Below are 21,816 nucleotides of genomic sequence, written 5' to 3'. Positions count from 1 at the left end.
CCCAGCCGCCAGATAAATCTCACCAATTACCACCCAGTACATTGGCCTTCCCGGACTGTTTCTGGGATCTGGGATCTCTGAGAAGCCTCCATTCTAATTGAGGAAAGGAAACAAGGATATTGCACACTGGGGGCGGACGTCTAGACTACCTCCTTCAGGGAACATAGCCTGGAGGAAGGGAAACACAAAGTCCCCAGGGCTGAGAAGATATTCACCAGTGTGTGGGTAAAAGTGAACACCGTAAGACTATTCAGAAAGGTGGTAGCTTCTGCTGTCACAAAATAACCTGCTATTCTGAGCCAATATGGATTTTGTGGATTAACTACCACACCTGCTTCACTTTTCCTGTTAACCTGCGTAATGAAGCACTTGTACTATCACCAAAAGGGTAATTTCTGATGACATCAATAATAGGCATCATGCTGCTTCAAAACATTTTCTTTAAAGTAACCTATCCACTCAGTTAACTGATCCTGGGAAAGTTGGGAAGGTGATGTGGAAACAAGCCTTATGGGGGCTCTATACTTGGCTGCTATTAGTTTAACTTCATTGACAGAAGGATTTTGTAAATCACCTAGGAAAAGAATATTGTATCATTTTAAGTTTCCTTAAATGTAAAAAATAATAGTTTTGGTTTTAGAGTTTCACAATATTCCCTGAAATCAGGTAAGAGAAATTCGAGGTTGTGCAGACAGGCAGAAACCTCGAATCAACAAAACCAAAGCCTGGTCGTTCTTGCCCTTGAGCTCCTGAAACACGGCTGACTCCTGGACTCACTGCCTGACAACCCACGGGAAGCATCCCAACCAGGGTGAACCCCAAGGAAGACTCGTGCTTCAACTCTCAAGCTGGGATCATTCAGAAGCAGAAAGCATGAGGCTTCCCCATTGCCTCCTCTAACTCTAGGGCAGCACAGGGTTCCCTAGAGTTGGTGGATCCCCAGACTGCTGGATTGTGGTGAAAACCAACCCATGTAATTGGCTGTTTCCTACAAAATGGCCAGCCCTAGAGCTCTGCCTGACAGCATTCTTGCCATCTTGTCATACTCATTCATTTAATTCTGTAAGCATTTTAAAATCTCTACTATATGGGAGGTCTTCCCACCCCATGACCTGGCATACTGCCTCCTTAGATTACAATCCCATTTCATTACAGAATTTAAGGTGTTGTGTATTAAACAAAGTTTATGCGAGGTCACTTGTGCTCAGTGCCATGGAATCAAACCAAACTTTGAAATGGGCCAGTTTTCAAAAATCCAGAAGATTCCAGTCAACCTGAGTCAGCATAAGGAAGTCCCCTCTGTTTTAACCCTAGAAGGACAGTTAGTTTGAAATGACCAATCTGCTTTTTGTTCTCTGTGACTGTTTTCTTCAGCTTTTTTCTGCTTATAAAGCCAACCTCCTCTGCTCAGGTCATGGGAACACTCATTCCATTTTAAAGAATGAGGTATTGCCCAATTCTAGGATCACAAATAAAAGCTAATTCGATCTTTAACTAAATTTGTTGTAATTTTGTCTTTTGGCAAGTGTAATGAAGCTGACCCATTGGTTCCAGACTTGGTTCTGCAGTACAGTGGGAGTGCTTTGGGGTTGGCTAGATTTGGTAGACAGAAATACAAGCAGATAACTGCCCAAAGGCAAAGAGGGAGACAAATATGGATGGAAACTGGTGACACGGAAATCAGAGAGAGCCAAGGGGGAGAAGAGAGAAAACCCTAGAGACCATTTGCAGCCTCCGGCCATGAACTGTGAATAACAGGGTCTCTTTTATCACAAGGCCTCAGGGGAGCACCAAGAGTAGCACCAGATGGGTAAGAGCCAGGGACTGTTCAGGCTCTGTTTACCCACCAATTTATTAAGAACAGAGCTGTATTTCCAGCCTCCAACTCCCAGAATTAACAGCCAATCAGGGGCCAGGTATGGTGGCTCATGCCTGTAATCCCAGCACTTTCAGAGGCCAAGGCGGGCTGATTGCTTGGGCCCAGGAGTTTGAGACCAGCCTGGCCAACATGGCAAAACCCTGGCTCTACAAAAAATATAAAAAATTAGCTGAGCGTTGTGGTACACACCTGTGGTCCCAGCTACTTGGGAGGCTGAGGTGGGAGGACTGTTTGAGCCTGGGAGTTCGAAGCTACAGTGAGCCATGATCTTACCCCAGCCTGGGTGACAGCAACAGAGTAAGACCCTGTCTCAAAAAAAAAAAAAAAAAAAAAAAAAAAAAAGCCAATCAGGCTCCTCAAAAAAATTAAACATGGAATTACCACATAATCCAGCAATTCCACATCATATCCAGGTACAGATATGCCAAAGAATTGGAAGCAGGCACTTGAAGAGCTGTTTGTACACCCATGTTCATAGCAACATGATTTGCAAAAGCTAAAAGGTGGAAACAACCCAAATGTCCATTGACAATGGATAAACAAAATGTGGTATATCCATGCAAATAAAGGTCTATTATTCAGTATTTGGAAGAAGGAAATTTTGACTCATGCTACAACCTGGATGAACCTTGAAGACATTCATGCTAAGTGAAATAAGCCACTCACAAAAGGACGAATACTGTATGATTTTACTCATATGACCTACCTAGAGAGGTCAAATTCATAGAGACAGAAAGCAGAATGACGGTTCCCAGGTGCTTGGGGGAGGAGGGAATAGGGAGTTATTGTTTAATGAGTAGAGTTTTAATTTTGGGAAGATGAGAAAGTTCTGGAGATGGATGGCGGCAATGTAGATGCACACAGCAACATACATGTACTTAATATCACAGAACCATACAACTGAAATGATTAAAATGGTACATTTTATATTATGTATATTTTATCACAATTTTTTTTAATGAGGCAAATTAAACACAGGCTCTTCCTGTGATGAAATAAAAATCATGACACAGTTGTGCTAAAAAGGATAACAGGCTGGAATATTTGAATTCGATAGGGTCCTGCAAAATGGTAAGAACCTACAGTCATGCTAAGAAGTCTTCAACCAAGAAATGATCATTTTAGAGCACTAGAATGGGCATACAGAATCCCTGGGCTCCAGTTCCAACTTTGTCAGTAACTAGTTCTATAACACTAGGCAAGGGAGTTGCGTCTCCCTGGGCCTCAGTTTACTGATTTGTACAAGGGGGTTGAACTAGATGACCAAAGCACCTCAGCTGGACCAGGGGTTTTCAACTTGTGGTCCTGCAGCAGAATCTGGGAACGTATGAAAAATGCAAATTATTGGGCCCCTCCCAGACTTCCCGAATCAGGAACTCTGAGTGTGGGCCCAGCAGTCTAGGTTTGAACAAGCTGAGATAGGTTTGAGAACCACTGAGCTAGGACATTTTATGTTTTTATAGCTAATAGTGATCTGAGTAAGCCACATTTTTATGGAAATAAAAAGCATAAACAGCCAGACACATAAAAACACATTAGCAAATGAATAGGAATAAAGAGAATAATTACTTTTTACAAAAATGAGATGTAAATATAAAGTAGCAAATTAATTTTTTTTAAAAATCATAATTTTTAAAAGTCCAAATGAGTGCTGTCCTTAAAAGTTATAATAGCCTACCACCTGCTGTTTTAATGATGCAGTTCTTGCTTAAAGCATTTTTGAAACTTTATTTGGAACCGACTGCTGAGTCAGTTTAGAAGCTGAACGAAATCAGCTTCATTTGTTTGGAACTAAAAGTATCTTCATTTAGCTTGAGCCTAGACTTATTGTCCTGATTAGGCGGCTTGCAGAAATCAAATTCCCTCTAAAAGGAAGAAGACTGCCCATCCCTGAGGATATTCAAAGAATGTGCTGCAGCCTCGAAAGCGATTTCGAAAGCATAGCTCAGACGTGTTTCGGATAATGACAGAATTACATGTTTGACATCACAGAGTGCCCATCTGGAAAGGGGCAACACTCACTTCATGCAAGCTCAGACCTGAGAGCTGGAAATGGAACAAGAGGTCATTCTTGGGGAACAAGAACTCACCCTTCGACAGGAGTGGAATAGTCTCACCATTTCACAGATGAGCAGTGAATGCCAAAGGGGGTGAAGAATGTGTCTAAGGTTATGGAACTCACAAACTGAACCAGAACTTAGCTTTCCTAAAGAATCTTCACTAGGCTAAGGAACTTTGAACCAGGGAGTGGGGACAGGATCAGTAGAAGGCCCCACCCACCAGGCTGTGATGTCAAATCAGAAGACGAGGCTCCCAGCCCAGTCACTTTCTTCATAAAACAAAAGACTCTTTTGAATGTACTGAATATTTTGGCACCAGCCCTGGTCAATTCTTTCTCTGACGGTGGGTTGCAAAATATTTCTAGCATCCCACAAAGTCCAGTGAGGGCAAAGAGGGTGGAAAATTCTTTCACCATTTAGCCACACAGATTTTCTGGACTTTGGCAAGGAGGTGCCCAGTGTACCATGCTTCCCCCCCCACAGGGCAAAGGGGAGGGTGAAGGTGAAGGGTTCTATTCCCCGGGCTCCTGGCCACTCAGGACTTCTGCTGGCCCACGGCTGGAACAATTTCCTCCTTGTTCCACACTGTGTTATTCTAAAATGTTCACTTTAGGGGTGATGGGTGGGTGAGAGGAGATACTAAAAGTGAAATATTATTTTGAATATTTATCAAGTTGTTCCCACCCTGGGCTCCTCAAAAGGTCTTTAAAATCATCTTTTTCAGTTTATTTTATTTTACATATTAAAAAAAAAGATGGGGGTCTCATTATGTTGCCCAAACTCTTGGCCTCAAGTGATCCTCCTGTCTCAAACTCTTGGTCTCACGTGATTCTCCTGCCTCAGCCTCTTAAAGTACTGGGATTATAGGTGTGAGCCACTGTGCCCAGCTACTTCTTTATGGATCTCTCCCAATATCCCATAATCTAAATCTCTCAATCTTAGTTTGGCACATCCTCTCTTTCCTGTGTGATTCTCTCTCTAGTAAGACCATGCGCTCTATGGCTGAAGTGTGGCACTCTCTTTATTTCCCATAGCACCCAGCATGCTGGTGGGTGCAGTGCAGGCACCCAGCCATCACGTGGTGATGGTGATGGTGATGTTATCACATGATCATATATGCCTACTGTGTGCTGGGCACTCAAACGGTACTCTGCTGATATGCACGACCTCAGCTAATCCTCAGAACAGTACTATGTGCGAGGGGCTATTAACTCCATTTTTCAAGCTGAGGCTCACAAAGGCTAAGTAAGTAGCCTATTCAAGGTCAGGGGAGGGGCTCAGGTACAAATCTAGGTGTCCTGGACTCCAAAAGCAGAGGTCTTAACATCCAGACATCACTCCCTGCCAAGTTAAGAAGTTAGAACACACCCTCAGCCTATCTTCTACCGCAGGTGGTTCTCTCTACCTCAGCTCCATTCCCTCGCCTGCCTTCCTAAACTCCAGGGCCAGGGAAGAAGAGGCTCTCAATACCCAAGGGGTATTGACTTCAGGGACCACCAATGAGATTGCTGACCATTGAAGAACCAGAGGGAGGTGGAAAAAGCAGCTGACAGAGAAAAGGTAGCACCTTGAGTGGCATAGACCTCCTTCTCCCCAGGCCCAGCAGCCTTTCTGTACAAGCTGCCCTACATATAGATGCTACCCTGAGGCTTGAAAGTTCCTGAATCACAGTCCTTCCACACACACCCCTCACCCCTGAAAACACCCAAGGCCCTGACAGGGTGAGAGAGCCACATTATAGCTACATGTCCAAGGAGAATCACTGTCACTCCAGCAGAGAGTGGGATGCATTTATTTCAGCCTCCCAACGTCAACTTAATACTTCTGTGTGAGACGCAGGGGAGGGAAAAACCAAGATGTCGAGGCACTGTTATGCTGGGTTCCCCACTGGGTTACCCACCTGGGTTCCCTGTCCTGATCAGGAGATGGCAGAGGGAGCACCACGCTAGGTGTCAGGACATCCGGGTTCAGGTCTCAGATCTTCCAGTAACTCTCTGGGACTCAGGCACCACTCATCCCTGCAGCATGGAGGTCACTGTGTGGCTTGTAAAGGGCCTTCCAGTGGCTCAGGCCTGTGGTTCTATGGCCAGACTATGGAAGCTGCCCTGCCAATCCCATGCTGCTGGCACCAGCCAGACTGCAGACAGTGCAGAACTAAGCAGTGATAGGACCTTATGCTGGCCCACTCCCTGGGAATCTGACCCTGCTCCTCTTCAGCTACAGGCATGCTTTGACAGTCTTCCAAGAAAAATGCTGACCTCTGGCCTGCTAGGTTCCTGGTTAAACAAAGGACTGCAAGCTGGTGAGCTGGGGACCATCCTCCGGAGGGCTGGGTCATCTTCCACCTGCCAGCTGACTCCTGAGCACATATACTCCACACCCCAGCTGCACAGGCCACAGAGCGGGGTCGATGCTCCCTGGTGGGGCCTTCATGCTGACATGACTTCAATGGGATGTAAGTGATGGGGAAGGGGCTAGAAAGCAGAGTTTATGGGTCGCTGCTCCAGTGCCGCCCCAGCCCTGCACAGCTGTCACTCACTCAAATTTCGACTTTTGGGGTATGAAGTGCCCTCAACTCTGCACCTTGTTCTATCCAAGTTGAAACTCCTATTCAGTCAGGCTGCCGTGTTTCAGCCAAGCCCCTTATGGCCTATAGTGCTTGCCACATATAGCTTCTCTGCATTCACATAAGCTGGGCTCCCAGTGCGAGTCATCCAGTGCCATTCTATCCTGTGTTGAGGCTCACCCCTTCCTTGTAACTACTGTTTAAGATCGGCTTTCTAGAAAGTTCTCTGGAGACAACTCCAACACACCCTACCTCTAGCCCTTATGCTTGACCTTCAGCCCTTATCCATGGCCTCCAGCAGCTATACACGGGTTTTCCCAAACTTGACTCATATGTAGGCGTATTCCAAAGGAAAGAATACCTCCCAGACTCCCATGAGCATACCTGAGAACCCCGGGCGTCTATATACCCCAGTGTGAGAGACACTATCCTAAGAAACCAAAATCCACTTTTATGAAAAACATCTTTCAATTTCAAATTAGAATTGCAAAAGAGAAGTTTTGTCTTTTAACTGGTAAAATAATAGAAAAGCACATGGTAAACATTCTCCCAGAATTCAGTGAGAAACACTGAGCTACAGTTTTCACTTATTCATCAAATATTTACCGAGGGCCTCACAGGTGCCAGGCAATGCTCTTGGCAATGGGATTCAGGGGTAAACAAGACATTGTCCCAGCACTCACAGAGCCTACCTTCCAGTGGGGGAGACGGGCCATGAAACAATAAACAGAGACGTAAGTGCAGGTAGTGGGGAAGTGCTATGAAGAAATACACAGTGGGGAAAGAAAGGGCAGATTTTACATAGGGTGGTCAGGAAGTGATATCAAAGAGAGACTTAAATAAAATAAAGGAGCGAACTGGGAGGTGAGGGGGGGAATAGCTTAAGGCAGAGGGAAGAAAAAGGAAAGGCCCCAAGGCTAGAGCTGGCTGGAACATTGAGGAAAAGCCTAAAGACAGCCCGGCAGAGCAGGGGGAACTGTGGGGCAGGGTAGGGAGGGCCAGATCATGCAGTGCCTTGTATACCATGGAGATGAGCCTGACTTTAGGGGAAGCATGAAGGAAGGCATGGCCAGGGGTTGGGGTGGGTTGAAATGTTAAAGAAAAAAATTATCCAATACCACTTGTTAAAGCGTGGTAAGGCAGACTTTATTCAGGACCATCCAGATAGGTGCAGGGAGCACTGCAATAGGGTCTTTCAGTCGGGGAGAGAGATTGGGCTCAACTCTGAATACAGCGTGGGTGAGTGGGAATTTATAGCCAAGAAGCAGGGTGGGGGTTGGTGGATGGAAAATTACTAAGAGGAAACATCAGGAGTAAGGGGGATTCTGGCTAAACAGACCGAACAGGATTCCTGCTGCAAACAGGCCAGGGTGATCAGACATCACCTGGGGAGTGGTGGAGGATGAGGAACCTAGTCAGATATCAAGGGTGATCAGATATCCAAGGTGGGGGGTTCTTGTCAAACTGACTTAGCAGGGTTCTTGCTAAAACTGGATTTTATAAGGAAGTGCCGAGGTAGGCCTAGCGGAAGGTTCAGGAACCTGGCTAAAGTTTGGTCAAGCAAAGAATCTTTGTCAAGCAAAGAATCTTTGTCAGAAACAAGGGACTGATGGGTTTTTCCTTCTGTCTTTTGTCTACTATCCCGTGTTCTTCAGGAACCCGTGGTTCCCCCCATCAGACTGAAGCTCATTGACGGCAGGGCTTGTGTCTCCCGTCTCATACCAGAAGCTCTTCCCTACCTTCTGCTGCTGCCTTCTGTCTTCAGGACAAGGCCCCACTCATAGTAAAGCTCAACTGGATAGTGACTCCAACCCAGAAATGAGCTCCAGGGAGCAGAGGAACTACTAGCATTAGCCTAGCAGGCTCTATTTGGTTGGTGCAAATGTAATTGCAATTTTTGCCATTACTTTTAATACAATCAGAAAAAAGAGGAGGGAGCTATGCATCTGTCACCAATAGAGAGGCCTCCCCAACCTGAACTGTGCCCTACCTGCCACTTAATGCCCAGCGGCTCTGCACAGGTGTCGCCTACTTCAGGGGCACACACCCCCAGGGGTGGCTCAACAGATGCATCTGCTGGTCAACCTGGGGTCCAGTCCCTAGGGCCAAGGTAGAGGCTCAAGCAAAGCCGGTCCCTGCCTGCCATGCTGAGGCACCATTGTGGGGAACACAGCGACACTACCCTGCATCACTGCCACAAACAGCCTCCACCTCTGCCCCTGCCCCAGGGGAGCCTCAGTTGCCCGTATCCATAGTAACTGACATTTGTGAGTTGCAGTCCCAGGAGGGAGGGCAGGAGGGCTGCTACACTCTTCGCTTATTCTGAAAAGAGACAGGCATTTCTCTGGTTAGCTTGGGAGGCCTGAAACTCCTGAAAGACGTGTCCTCATCCACTTTCATCTGTCTCCTGTCTCAGTCAGCAAGGTGCAAATGGACATGATACATCCATTCAAAGACAGGACTTTCTTTTGGGTTCTCTCTGACGCTGATCCTGCATAAAATTTTGCTTTTGAAACACCTGGGAACTCAGGGTGGGGTCAACTAGGAAAAAATCAAAAACCCCAAATCCCACAGCTGGAAGGAACTTGAGAGGTTTCATTCCCCTACCTCTGAACCAGATGAAACCTCTTGCCATCTCACAGTGAAAAACTCAAGGCCAAGTGGGAATCACGTCTGTAATCCCAGCACTTTGGGAGACTGAGGCGGGTGCAGCACGTCAGGAGATCGAGACCATCCTGGTTAACATGGTGAAACCCTGTCTCTACTAAAAATACAAAAAATTAGCTAGGCGTGGTGGCGGGTGCCTGTAGTCCCAGCTACTTGGGAGGCTGAGGCAGGAGAATGGCGTGAACCTGGGAGGCGGAGCTTGCAGTGAGCTGAGATCGCCCCACTGCACTCCAGCCTGGGCAACAGAGCGAGACTCTGTCTCAAAAAATAAATAAATAAAAAAGAAATTAAACATTACAATGAGAAAAAAAATTACATTAAAATGCCAATTGCTACACTTCTTTTTTCTTCATTCCTAAGAGATTTCAGCCATACTGGGCCTCACTTCAGTGTTTCAACTCCCTCTTAGCTCACGCAGGTAGAGCTGTCTAAGTCTAACCTAAAGCCTGTAGGTGATGGCTTAAACATGGACAGGGATGAGGGGCTTCCTGGGATGAGAAGAAAAGAGGTTCTCAGGTTTTCTTTTAAAATAAATTGTGCACTCCCCCTGCTACTGAGATAACTAGCTGAGTCAATGTTCTGGCTCTAGAAAATGTGTTCACACTCACAAGGTAGGCCTCCATGCAGAGAATAAGCCTGCCAAGCCACTTCACCCCAGAATGAGAGGGCCAGCACCACCAGCTGTGCCCACAGCCGAGAGCCCACAGCATGAGAACCCCAAACCATCTGATCACTGAGCAAGGTCAAACCAGATCAGAAATTGCCCTTTATACCTCATACTATCCCTTCTATTCCCACAGCTCTTCTCCCTTGAAAGATGCTAAATCTTCTTTTAAATAAAAGCAGAACAAACAAACCCAGCTGAATTCCTTTCTCTCCATCCTTTTCTGCAGTCTCAGGATAGAACACTTTCTCAAGTTCCAGTCTTCACTCCTTCCCATTTCCAAAAGAACTGCCCTGTTTTCAAAATAAAAATAAATCCCACAGTCCTCTATAATGTCAAGAGAAAAATGTACCATTTGGCTGCCCCCAGATCCTATGAGAAAGCACATCTGGTGAGATTTTTACATAACCACATTTCTGCAGCCTAAGGGATGGTTCCCGTTATCTCTCCTCTCTCCCACCCCTTGGTCCTCCCTGTCCTACATTCACCCTGCACAGACAGCAGCAGAAGCAAAGTCCATGGGTTCCACCTCTGCTAGCTGTGTGGGTTCAGTGAGCGCCCCCAAGCCCTGGTTTGTCTATAAAACAGAGATCACTGTACCCTATCCTACAGACGACTGTTTTGCGGGGGAGACGAGTAGTAATATGAGACACAACGTACACATTTCCATAAAGTACGTCGGCACATAACAAATGTTAGTTATTCACTATTATTTTTTTGTCCCACAAACTTTTTGAGAGTAGATTAACCAACTTGTCATAGTTGCATTCAAAGCACCTAGTGTCTGGCATGCTGCAGATATTTTAAATTTCATTTACAAAATAAAAATGTTCATTAAATCTAGTTGAAGAGGCCACAGACTTGTTTTGCACTGGTTGGTCCCTACTTCTGTCCTCAGATTAGCTTGGCTCAGTGCTATTCCCCTAAGGGGAAGGTTATCCTCAAATAACCTTCTTTTTTTCCACTCAGAAGAATCTCCAATAAAAATCAAACTGTAGGAAGAAATTGCTCTTCAAAAGGGAAGCCTCTGTGCAACCCACCCCACCAGTTCTGGCCAGGCCTCTCCAAAGATCTGTCCCCCTGCCTCCTGGATGGTGTTCAGTAACCAGATGAATAATGAACCATCAGAGGGGATTCAACCGGTGGCAATTAACACTCTTCCAGCTGGGAAGGATTTAGCTCCACGGTGCCCAGATCTGCCGACTCTCCTACCCTCTTCCAAAACACACCAACTGCTACCACATGAATTGGGAGGATCCCGCAGATCAAAGAGAAGAATCCGCTGGATGAAACAAGACTGGCCAAGTGTTGATCATGGCTGAAGCTGAGTGATGGGTATGTGGGGATTCATTATACTACACTCTTTACTTTTGTATATTTTGAAAAACACAACAAAACTTTAATTATAATTCCATATTTTACCAGAACTAGGGCAAGAAAGCCCAAGGGGTTTTCTTTCCAAATTATCAGGGGAACTCCAGGCCTGATTTCCATTGTAAAAGAAAACATCCAGGAAATTTCTCTAGCACATTTGCATTTACAAGACCAGGGAGTTATTAAGTTAGTGCAAAAGTAATTGCGGTTTTTGCCATTATGTTTTTTTAACGGCGAAAACTGCATTTACTAATATTTAGTTGGTGTAGAGAAAGAGTGTTGGCTTTTGTGATCTTGGACAAGTGACTTAACCTCTCTGAGACTCTCCTCAGTTTCTTTGCCCTTGAAACAAATTTTGACCCTATCTCACAGAGCTGCTGTATAAAAGAAGGTGAAGTTTTTAGTGCTGTGCTGACACCTTGAACCAGTACCTAGTAGATGTTTGATAAAATTTAGTCTTTTTTCCTTGAGGAAACAAAGATGTTCTGTTGTATTCTTGCATTAACAAGCTTAATGGAATCAAACTCCAGAAGTCAGCTGCTGGCCAGGAGAAACCTAGATACACTGAAAAGAAAGCTTCTGGGGAAAGGAACTCCAAACTCTATTGCCTGGGAAGCCTGGGTCCGGAAGTACCCATCAAGGGCTGCAGTGTTTGAAACATCATTTGCCACAGGCACGAAGTCAGAGGAGACAGGGCAGCAGATGAGGAGCAGAAATGCATTCCACTCCGGGTCCTGGTGCGAGGGCAGGTTGAACCAGGAGAAGTTGCTAGGAGATGCTGCTGAGCACTCAAATACCATAATGACCCGAATAGATATTTGCACACCAATGTTTATGACAGCGTTACTCACAACAGCCAAAAGGTGGAAACAACCCAAATGTCCACCAATGGATAAATGGATAAACAAAATGTAGTATATATTGATAAATAAAAACAGAAGCCTAAGTCCCCCGATCGACTGCATGGAACCCCTCTTGGCCAAGGGGACCCCCATAGAAACCTTAAAAATTGAGTTCCAGGCCATGATGGGATGGGAGGTCAGACATACCTCATTATACCTCCCACCTCAGTAACTACTATCAGAGTTTCCTTCCTAAAGGTTAAATAGAAACTTACCCTTTCCAAAGACTTGATCCACCCCCGATTTCAACCAACTGCCTGCCTGTTCCATTTTGCAGTTTTGATACAAGTGACCAGCACGGCTTCCCAACAGGAGACCACTGACCATGCACTGGTTCTGGCCGTTTCACAGACGCTGTGTATAGGATGCCTCTGTGCCTTCCATTTCACCATTGGGTGTGCAGAGCCTAATTTTAATGCGTTTAAATGTTAAGTCTCCATTCCAAAGTGAACATGAGATGTATGTAACATGCATGTTTGCTTACTGTGCATGTGTGCATCCCCTGCTTTGTGAATATTCACATTTCCTCCTATAATCTATTAAATATATATTTATATATTATTTAATATTTTAACATTTAATATTATTTATATATAAATATATAAATAAATATATTATATATATATAAATATATAAATAAATATATTATATATATATAAATATATATTATATATATATATATATATATATATATATATACATATTTAGCCAACTCATTTGGCATAAATTCCTGTTCTACCCTTCCCTCCATCAAAGTGCCTGCTTTTGGTTTCTACCAGAGGCTATGCTTCCGAGCCTACAAGCTGCTGCAAATCTTTATAAAAAACAAAGCTCTCCTCTCCACATTTATGAGTCCCACGATTCTTCAGTTGACAACACATACAATAGAATATTATTCAGCCTGGAAAAGGAATAAAATTCTGATACTTGCTGCAATATAATGAGCCTTGACAACATTATGTTAAGTGAGATAAGCCAGACACAAAAGCACAAATACTGTATGATTCCACTTATTGAGGTTCCTAGCGTAGCTAAGTTCAAAGAGAGAGAAAGTAGAATGGCGGTTGCCAGGGGCTGGAAGGAGGGGAGAATGAGGAGGTAGTGTTTAATGGTCAGTTCTAGTTGGGGAGCATGAAAGGGTTTTGAAGATGGGTGTAGTGATGATGGTTATATAATAAGTGAATGTACTTAATGCCACCAAACTGTACATTTAAAAATAGTTAAAATAGTAAATTGTATGTTGTACATATTTTACCATGATGAAATAAGAAAATAATGACAAAAGAAAGAAAAGAAAGATATATCATAATGGCAAAATTTTGGCTTTAGTTTATATCTTTTTTTCCCTAGAGCTGAAAGTATCCTTAAAATATGCAGGGGCTGTGGGGTGGCGGTGGACTGTAAACTGGATGAGGAGATTTTTAGGGGGCAATAGAAATATACTCCATCTTGATTGGAGTGGTGGTTACATGGGGCATATACATTTGTCAAAACGCATCTGTACTCTAAAATGACTACATTTTATTGAGTGTAAATTATACCTTGATACAGTTGATTTTCAAAGTTGAGAAAAAACCAAAAATGAACAAACAAAAAATCTCTAAGAAATAAAGCAAGAGCGCCCCATGCCTCACTAGTAATTTAGGAGGCCTATCTTAAAGGCTTAGGAAGGAAGACAATACATCCCAAATGACTGTGTATTACCAGGCAATTCTAGGCTGAGTCTAAGAGGGTTGCAGACCCCTCCTCCTTCCACTTTTCCCCACCAACCCTGGAATTTCAGAGTCAGTCAAACAAAGACCCTATCAGACCTCTCCTCAGTCTGATAGAAGTTAGAGTTCCAAATGTTCCCTCAAAAACTAGTTAATAACATCCTGTCTTGGTTGGAGATTTGTGGGAGTGGGGAGGAACAGGGTGGCTGGTATCTACCGTTGGCTTCTGGTGTGTGCTTAGGGCCATTACCATGTCACTTACATCTTCTCCTACAAAGAACCCACAGCAGGGGACCTGAGGGGCGTGGTGGGGGGAAAGGGCAGGGGAGCACTCAGAAGAGAACCCGGGCCTGGAGATCCAAGCAATCTCATTGGACTGCACCTCTCCAGCCCTCGAGGCCTCCCGACAATCTGCAATCACTTTGCAGAATGTTCCCTCCTAGACTGTTTTTAGGGAAAAGAAGCACCTTAACTTTCTAATCCCGTATGACTCAGGCACCTCCAGATTCCCTACTCTGTTCTTCTTTCCACTTCCTCCAGCAAAATATAGTCACCTCTTAGGCACATGTGACTTCTGGGAGGCAGACAGCCTCAGTAGTGTTGCCAGGCTCCTGGTCTAACCTGGAGGTTAGACCAGTGGAAAACAGTGGAAGGCTGGGGTCTCCCATCTTCCCTTCAGTGCCTCCCAGGCCTCTTTATGAGAGAAGGGCCCATAGCCAAGGGATGGGGAGTGAGGAAGATGCAATGTGAACAGGAGATTTGGATTTGTTCACACTCAGAAATCCAGCTTAAGGATAATCAAAATGCAGATGTGTCTACATCAATATGAGCACCTTATCCAACCCACTTTCTTCTAGAGGCTGAATGATTCAAACAACAACAACAACAACAACAACAACAACAACAACAAAGCAGACCCACACTCAAATCTTGACTTTCCTACCTAATTGCTGTGTAACCTTAGGCAAGTCACTTAACGTGTTTCCCCATCTATAAAATGGGGATTGTGGTATTTGCCTCCATTAGGTTACTGAGGGACTAAATAAAGACATATCAAAGAATGGAGCAGTGACTGAGGGTAGCCAGAAAGTATGATGCCACCTGCCCCCACCACCCACCCCTCTCATTTTGACCTTATTCAGTCTACAGCAAAGTGGAAAGTTACCTCTCCTTTTCCGAAGTGATTATAAATGTGGGGCTGACTCTATCACCGGGCCCTCCTTTAAATGTCAAGAGAAGTTTGCTTTAGGCATGCAAAGTGTGCTTGAATCCCTGAGAAGTATAAACCAAGATGACATTCAGACCAGGCCCCAGGCCTAGGTGGGGAGGGTAGAAGGGCACCGGCAGAGGCGGGAAGGATCTGGGGCAGATGCCATCAGGACCCAGGGCCCGAGGGTGGAGGGAAGTAGATTCAGGATGGTGGGTTGGAAGTGCAGGAATGGGAACCGGGGGCAGGGCCCTGGAGAGCCTGTCACAGGGCAGAGCGGGTGGAATAAAGCCACGTGATTCCACTCCCAGGCCCCCAAGCAGCCAGATACTACTGAGCTGTGAGGAAGAACAGGAAGTCAGAAGCCTGGCGTACACCAGAAGACGATGCTCACCTCCAGAGACCCAAAATGGGGCGAAAGGCAGCCCAGGGGGCAGAAGAACTGGAATTTAGCATGTGGTCTTGCACTGGCTCCTACGACAAAAGGGAGTGGCAGCAGGAGGCAACATGGAGACCATGGGTTATTTAACCTGAGCCAAGCCCAGCGGCAGGAGACACAGTGAGGACACCTCCAACATGGGCCTGTCCCCCAGCGCAGGAAGATTTCGGCTGGGTAGGAACGAAGGGGAACAAAGGCTGCATAGGACTGGACAGAGAGAGCCTCCTCCTTCCTACTCCTGTGCTAATGATTTCATGGATTAGTTCATTTATCTTCTCAAAATCCAAGAGGCAGGTGCTATTAATATCACACTTGACAGATGATGAAACCAGAGGTCACCCAGCTAGGGGCTGAACTGGGACTGTTCCCCCGCAGTCTGGCTCCAACCCCACCTGTCCACCCACTGTGCCATGCTACTTGCAGGGTGTTAGCTGCCCTGCTCCCCACTGCAGCTCCTGGAGGGAGAAGACACAGCCCGTACCCCACCCCCAGAACATTCTCCTGAGACTGCTGCCATGGTACAGATCAGGGTGACAGAGGGGAAGTAAAAGCTACAGCAGCCCAGCTGGTTGGCAAAGAAGAGTCCCCCATCCCCATCCAGATGGCTCACCAAGCCCACTGAGGGGCTCTTTTCTCTGGCTTCTTCATTGCCTCAGAATGGAAGGCCCCCAGCAGCTGTCCCTAGCACACATGACCCGCAGATGCTTGTGTCCTAGGTAAAGAACGAAGCCTTCCCCGGGATCTGTCCAGCTCCTTGTGTGCTCTGTGGTGGGAGGCCCAGGAACAGAGGCCCCAGCAGAAGCCAAAGGCTTCTTTCTGGGTGAACAGGCACATCTGACTCAAAGGCAGAAATGAAATGTCCACTAAACCACGGGAGTGGTTTCTCTCTCTCGGGCTTCTTCTCTAAGCCTGGGGGATTCTCTGGCCTCCCTGGCTTTTTCCTAGGACTCCAAATCCCAGCCAGGTACTTGGTGTACCCAGAGCTGCTGGCTGGTTGCTCCCTGTTCTTACTGACACATGGTCCAGCATCTTTCATGGCAGACCACTGCTGGCCCAGGGTCCAGAAAACAGAGCTGCCAAAATCCCAAGAGAGAAAATGTCTTGAGTGGTCATTAATCCAGAGTCCAGCCTGCAAGAGAGCTCCCCTCTGAAATGCAAGGTGCCTTTCAAATGCAAGGTGCCTGGAAGGAAGAACATTTCACATAGCCCCCCTCACTGTCAGGAAGTATTTCCTTGCATCTGACCTCAGTCCTTCTTATGGACACCAAAATAACCCACTTTATTGTCTTCTACTGAGAGGCAACATGGCAGCAAGCTCCAAGAGACTCCAAGCATAGGGGCTCTAAAAGAACAGGTTCTTGGGCCTGGCTCAGTCACCGACAGTGTGACACCAGGCAACATGCTTAACTTCTCTGGGTTTCAGGATCCTTGATTTTAAAATGAAGATAGCATAGGTTGTTGAAAGGTTTATATGAGGACAAACATCCAATGCTCAGAGAACTGCCTACCATGGAGAAGGCTCTCAGTGAAGAGCCATTGTGATTATAGTTGTTGATGGTGTTGCCATCACTGGGGGAGGCCATCTCACCAATTCCTCCTGTTGCACCCTGAGCACATCAGCCTCAGAGAGAGGGTTGTCCAAGGATGACTCAGCCTGCCCAACTCTATGATGAAGGCCCTCATCTTCCAGGAAGCCTCCCACAGCAAATGACAATGTTACAACAGAGCCAGTAGGAGCCCCCAAAAAGCTTGGTGGAGGACACTGGGTCATTCCTCCAGGCCAGGTGCCCAGCCGGCTGACTGCGGTTGAGTTGACCACACACAAGCCTGCGCTCCCCAGCCCCAGCTGTCTCACCAGCTCCTGTGCATTCAGCCCAGCAATAAACCACAGAAACAGTGCTCCCAGGAGCATGCAGATGCTTCTAAAAATAGTCACTGCTCCTTCAGACCGTGGGAGGGAGATGGGAAGCAAGTGTCCACAGTGCCTGTGGGAGCCAAGGAGAGTCCAGGAAGGAGCTGCAATTCTCTGTAGAGCCTCCTCATCACCCTGCGGCACTCAGGCCTGGGATGCGTGATGCTCAGGGAAAACTGTACCGTTTGCTTTGTGCATAGGGTTGAGGGAGCACTCCGCAATGCTCCTGACACTCTGTCCTGGGGTGAGGTCTGACTGCCTCTGGGAAGGTTGAATTGGTCTGAGCCAGGGAGGCAATACTCCAATAACCTGGGATCATCAGTTTGTTCTGGCCCTAATGCAGCCTCGAACCTTCCTGGGTTAAGTACGGTCACTGAATCTTCAACCCAAACAAAACTTTAAAGTCACTGGATCCAAACCCCTGCTTCAGGGAGCCCTGTACCCAAAGGACAAGACAGACTGTCCCTTCCATCAGCCTCCTTTTTCCCTCCCAACCAACAACAAACCAGTACACATCTCTGTAGACAGAGCTGTCTTGACATGAAAGAGTTTCCTAACTCAGGGTAGCTCTGGACCAAAGCCACCTCCAAAGGTCAAAGTGAACATCATCAGCCAGACCAGGTGACATAAGCCTGTGTGGGCTCTGTCTTCACTCTTGTTTTGGTTTAGCATGAAGTGACAGGAAACCAAGGCTCTCCTGACCCAGAAACTGCTCTCCATCCCTAGAAGCCAGCTGAGAGCAAAAGGGACTATTCTCACTTCCTCCCAACCAGCAGCTTCTGCATTCCTGGCCTGAGATCCTGAGATCCAGAAATGCCAAGACTCAGGAGGGAGACAGCTGGTTTGAGATGGTGGAGCCCAGAGCAAATGGCCAAACGAGGGAACAGGAGAAGACTAACGTAGGACAGAGACACGCCACAGAGTTAACACAGGCTTCACAATTAGACGCACAACACTGAGTCTCCCTCCTCTAAAATGCTCTCCGGCATCTCACTTTTCCAGACACCCTCATTCCTCAAATCAAAGCTCCCCTGCCCACCCACACAGGGGCTTTGGAGCCTTGTCCTTGGCCTCTCTTCCTCCTAAAATTTCAGCTCATTTAGGACAGGAGACCAGTACCACCACCTCTTTCCCCTTCAAGCCTGCCTACTTCATATTTCAGATCTTAACCCCAACCAATCCACTCCCTGGGCCGGGAAGATTCTTGCAGCCCTTGTGCACAACCACAGTCTTAGCTTTGTTGGGAAAGTATGCACAATCCTAGCACACACCGCTTCAGAGTCTTTGAAGGCCAAAGCAGGAGGAATGGGGTGAGGATGAGAGGCCAAGAGGGAGGGCAGAGTTGACCATCCTACCTCTCTCCTGAAGGAGCCATGGTCTGGTTCATCCAGCGTCTTCTCAGTCTCCCTCCATGGGGACAGGTGGGGAGGGAAGCTAGGCATTTCTTAGGCCCCAGGCCATCCCAGCTGGCAGACTTAGGCCTGAGCAAAATCCCAGCAAGATCCTTCTTTTCCCTGAAAGTTGGCCTCAGAGAAAACACAGCAGCCCTGCCCTGGGTGGAATCAAAATAATTCCTGGCTTCCCTGCTCCTTGTCACCCCCATCGGCCACCTCCCCAGCCCTCCGTGGCATAAACAGGGCTTTATTATCTCAAGCCCACCACGTCCTCTGAGAGTGCCGTGAATGGAACGCCACACAATACACTTGTTTATTAATAACCACTCACCCCTCCCTCGGCCGGCTTGCTCACTCGCTCACCGCTGGGTCTCCCTCATGCATAATGGAAGAGTTGTGTGGCCCATGACACAAGCCAGGCTGTGCTCCTGAGGGGATAGACAGAGAGACGTACCAGGCCGGGCCAGGCTCCCCAAGGCGGGGGTGGGGTGGGGAGCAGACCCCCCTGTTAAGATTCAGAGACGTCATGTTTTGTAGGGGAGCACAGTGTGGCGGGGGTGGTCCTGGCCCTCCCCCATGCACACGTCCTCCATGAACCCAAGCCAGAGGTGGCAGCTGGTCATGTAACCTTTATGTAATACCCACCCTGTTCCATCCAGGGCTGTGTGCTGGCCCCACACAGGACAATGGCTCCCGCACAGAACAATGGCTCTCCGCAACTTTGGTCCCCTGGTCCACTTCTGCTCGAGAGCCTCAGGACAAACCTCTCTCTTTCACTTGACAGCCCATTACACATTTGATTACAGCCATGCGTGTGGCCCTTGTCCCTATCTTCTGCAGGCTAAATATCTCCAGTCCCTTCAACCTCCCCTGATGAAACTATTTCCACTCACCACATTGTCCTGCTTCCTCTGAGATGGACAAACTTCACTGGGTCAGAGATTCTCCTAGAGTGTAAGGCTCAGCTCTCCTACCCTCCTGGAGGAGGCGTCCCCTGATAACAGCATTCCCAGAAGGGAGTTTGGAAAAACATGAAAACATCTTAAAAATGTTTATACCCTTCATTGCATAAATTCCATTTCTGGGAATGGATCTTAAATAATCAAAGATAATTAAAATATTTAAGTCACACAAATATTCAGCAGAATATTGTTTATAATGATAAGAAAAAGTTAGAAACAACCTAAACAACCATCACTACAGGAAATGATAAACAAACTATGGCACGCCCATGGTTTGAAAGTCAGTATAGTGTGGAGATTATAAGAGCTCTGGAGCAGGCGACCTGGGTTCAAAATTTGGCTCTGCCATTTATTGGCCATGTTGCCTTGGGCAAGTTACTTAGTGCAGGCGAGCCTCGGGAAACTGTGCCTCAGTTTCCTTATTTGTACAACTGGGATCACAGTCAACTTGAGTACAAAGATTCTCTAAATGACAGTACCTAATACATATGGTAAATGCTAAGAAACTGGCCTGTACTCTTAATACTCTCATAAGCAATGAAATATGATATATTTTATCAAAATGATAAAATAATATAGTAAAATATTTTAATCAAATGGAAGATTGAGTAAAAAACAGATTATAAATATAGGAGAAGAATGACTATCTTTGAGCAGTGAAATTATGGATAATTTGCTTTTTTTCCCTTTGTGTTTATTTATCTTTTCTAAGTGTTCTGCAATGTAAACATAAATCACTTTTGTTAACAAGATAAAGTACTCATTGTGGTATGGCGCCCAGGGCAGGGCATAATTTCCCCACACAGGGTGCACGGGGCAGCCCTTTGGGACAGGCTCATGTTGTGATGCCTCTTCAACCACCACATCCCACTATTGGCTCATACTGAGCTTCAAGTCAACAACCCGCACTCCCACCCTGGCTCCCTCCAGCCCCACATCTAGCCCCCATCTGGCCTTTTCACAGGGGCTCCTGTTGAGCCATTTCTCTTGCCTATAATGAATACAGGGCTAATGGAGTTTGTAAGGGAATGGGAAGGATAGAGGGGAAAGGCACAACCAGGATGGAAGGCGTTGGCCCTAAGACTCAGAGCCAGAACAGAGTGAGCAGCCCAGGTCAGGGGCAAAGTTCTGCCCCGGAAGAGGCAGCCCTTTTCCATATCAGCAAGGTACAGAGGGGTTAATGGAGAGATCAGATTGATCCCACATTGAAGCGGAACAAAAGGGGATAAAATGCTGAGAAAATCAGGTGACATCCAGATGACCCCCTGCTGGGTGGCCTGGGGGTTGGAGGGGTGGGCAGACCCAGAGGGTAGCTGCCCCCATGCTCCTGCCTCCTGTTCTCTGCCTGCTCTGAGCTCAGCTCAGTGTTGGAAGCCATCGCTTTGCAGTTCCTGCGGCTTTTCTCCTCATAGAGGCAGCCACACCTGCCCAGCCCATCTCCCAAAGCCACCTGTGGACAGCAGCCCCTTTCTCAACCCAGGGAGCCTAATGCCGATAGGGAACAGGAAGCCAGGAGGGGTTGGCAGCCAGAAAGAGGAATGTGGTAGGGGAAGACAGCTGCTGGGCAGGCCTGAATGTGGGTCACATTCACAGAGGACAGCCCGTGCCAATGCAGAGTGGCTCTAGTAACAGCTGGCCTGCCTGGGGGAGAGCGCCAGCATGTCCTAGGCATCCTAGGCAGGGCAGCCAGGTCGTGCTCCTCCGATTCCCCAAGGCTTACTCCCCTGCCAGCCACAGCTCCCTCCAAAGAGGTCTGGTGTGCCACATCCAGCCCACCTGCTCTCCCACACCAGAAGAGATCAGCAATACAATGACTTAGGGGAACTGTTGATCCTGTGGCCAAGTGCAGCCCACAGGGACTTGGGGACAGGGTGGACTGAGCAGGCCAGAGGCCGTCCAGCTGGATTTGCTCACTGACTGTAACTACTGCAGTGAAGGGTCCAGTCTCATCCCTGGGTGCATAATCCCCATTTCCCAGCGTGGAAAGTGAACGCTATTACAACGGGAAACTTGTCACCACAAAGTATTTTGTCTGAAATATTTAAGCAGAAGCTGGGTAACCCTGTCAGAGGAGCTTA

At 46.9% G+C, this 21,816-nt stretch overlaps 1 protein-coding gene across 55 annotated transcripts in view; it reads right to left on the bottom strand.

Moving 5' to 3' along the window:
- The window catches only part of NFASC (neurofascin), a 194,171-nt gene that overhangs the window by 133,015 nt on the left and 39,340 nt on the right, over positions 1-21,816 (bottom strand). For 28 of the 55 annotated variants that reach the window (XM_011509322.3, XM_011509321.3, XM_024454297.2 and 25 more), the window contains exon 1: positions 18,738-18,946. The exons of 26 other annotated variants lie outside the window; for them this stretch is intronic. In XM_011509322.3, coding sequence (XP_011507624.3) covers positions 18,738-18,769 — 32 coding nt within the window. In that variant the 5' untranslated portion in view covers positions 18,770-18,946. Of the gene's footprint in view, positions 1-18,737; positions 18,947-19,107; positions 19,205-19,669; positions 19,733-21,816 lie in introns of those variants that run through there. One more of the 55 variants, XM_047449947.1, reaches the window with a different exon arrangement.

The sequence above is a fragment of the Homo sapiens genome, chromosome 1, assembly GCF_000001405.40.
Source record: "Homo sapiens chromosome 1, GRCh38.p14 Primary Assembly".
In the NCBI taxonomy this organism is placed as follows: Eukaryota; Metazoa; Chordata; class Mammalia; order Primates; family Hominidae; genus Homo; species Homo sapiens.
Note: the sequence above shows the minus strand (reverse complement) of the source record. Positions and strands in the feature narration are given on the sequence as shown.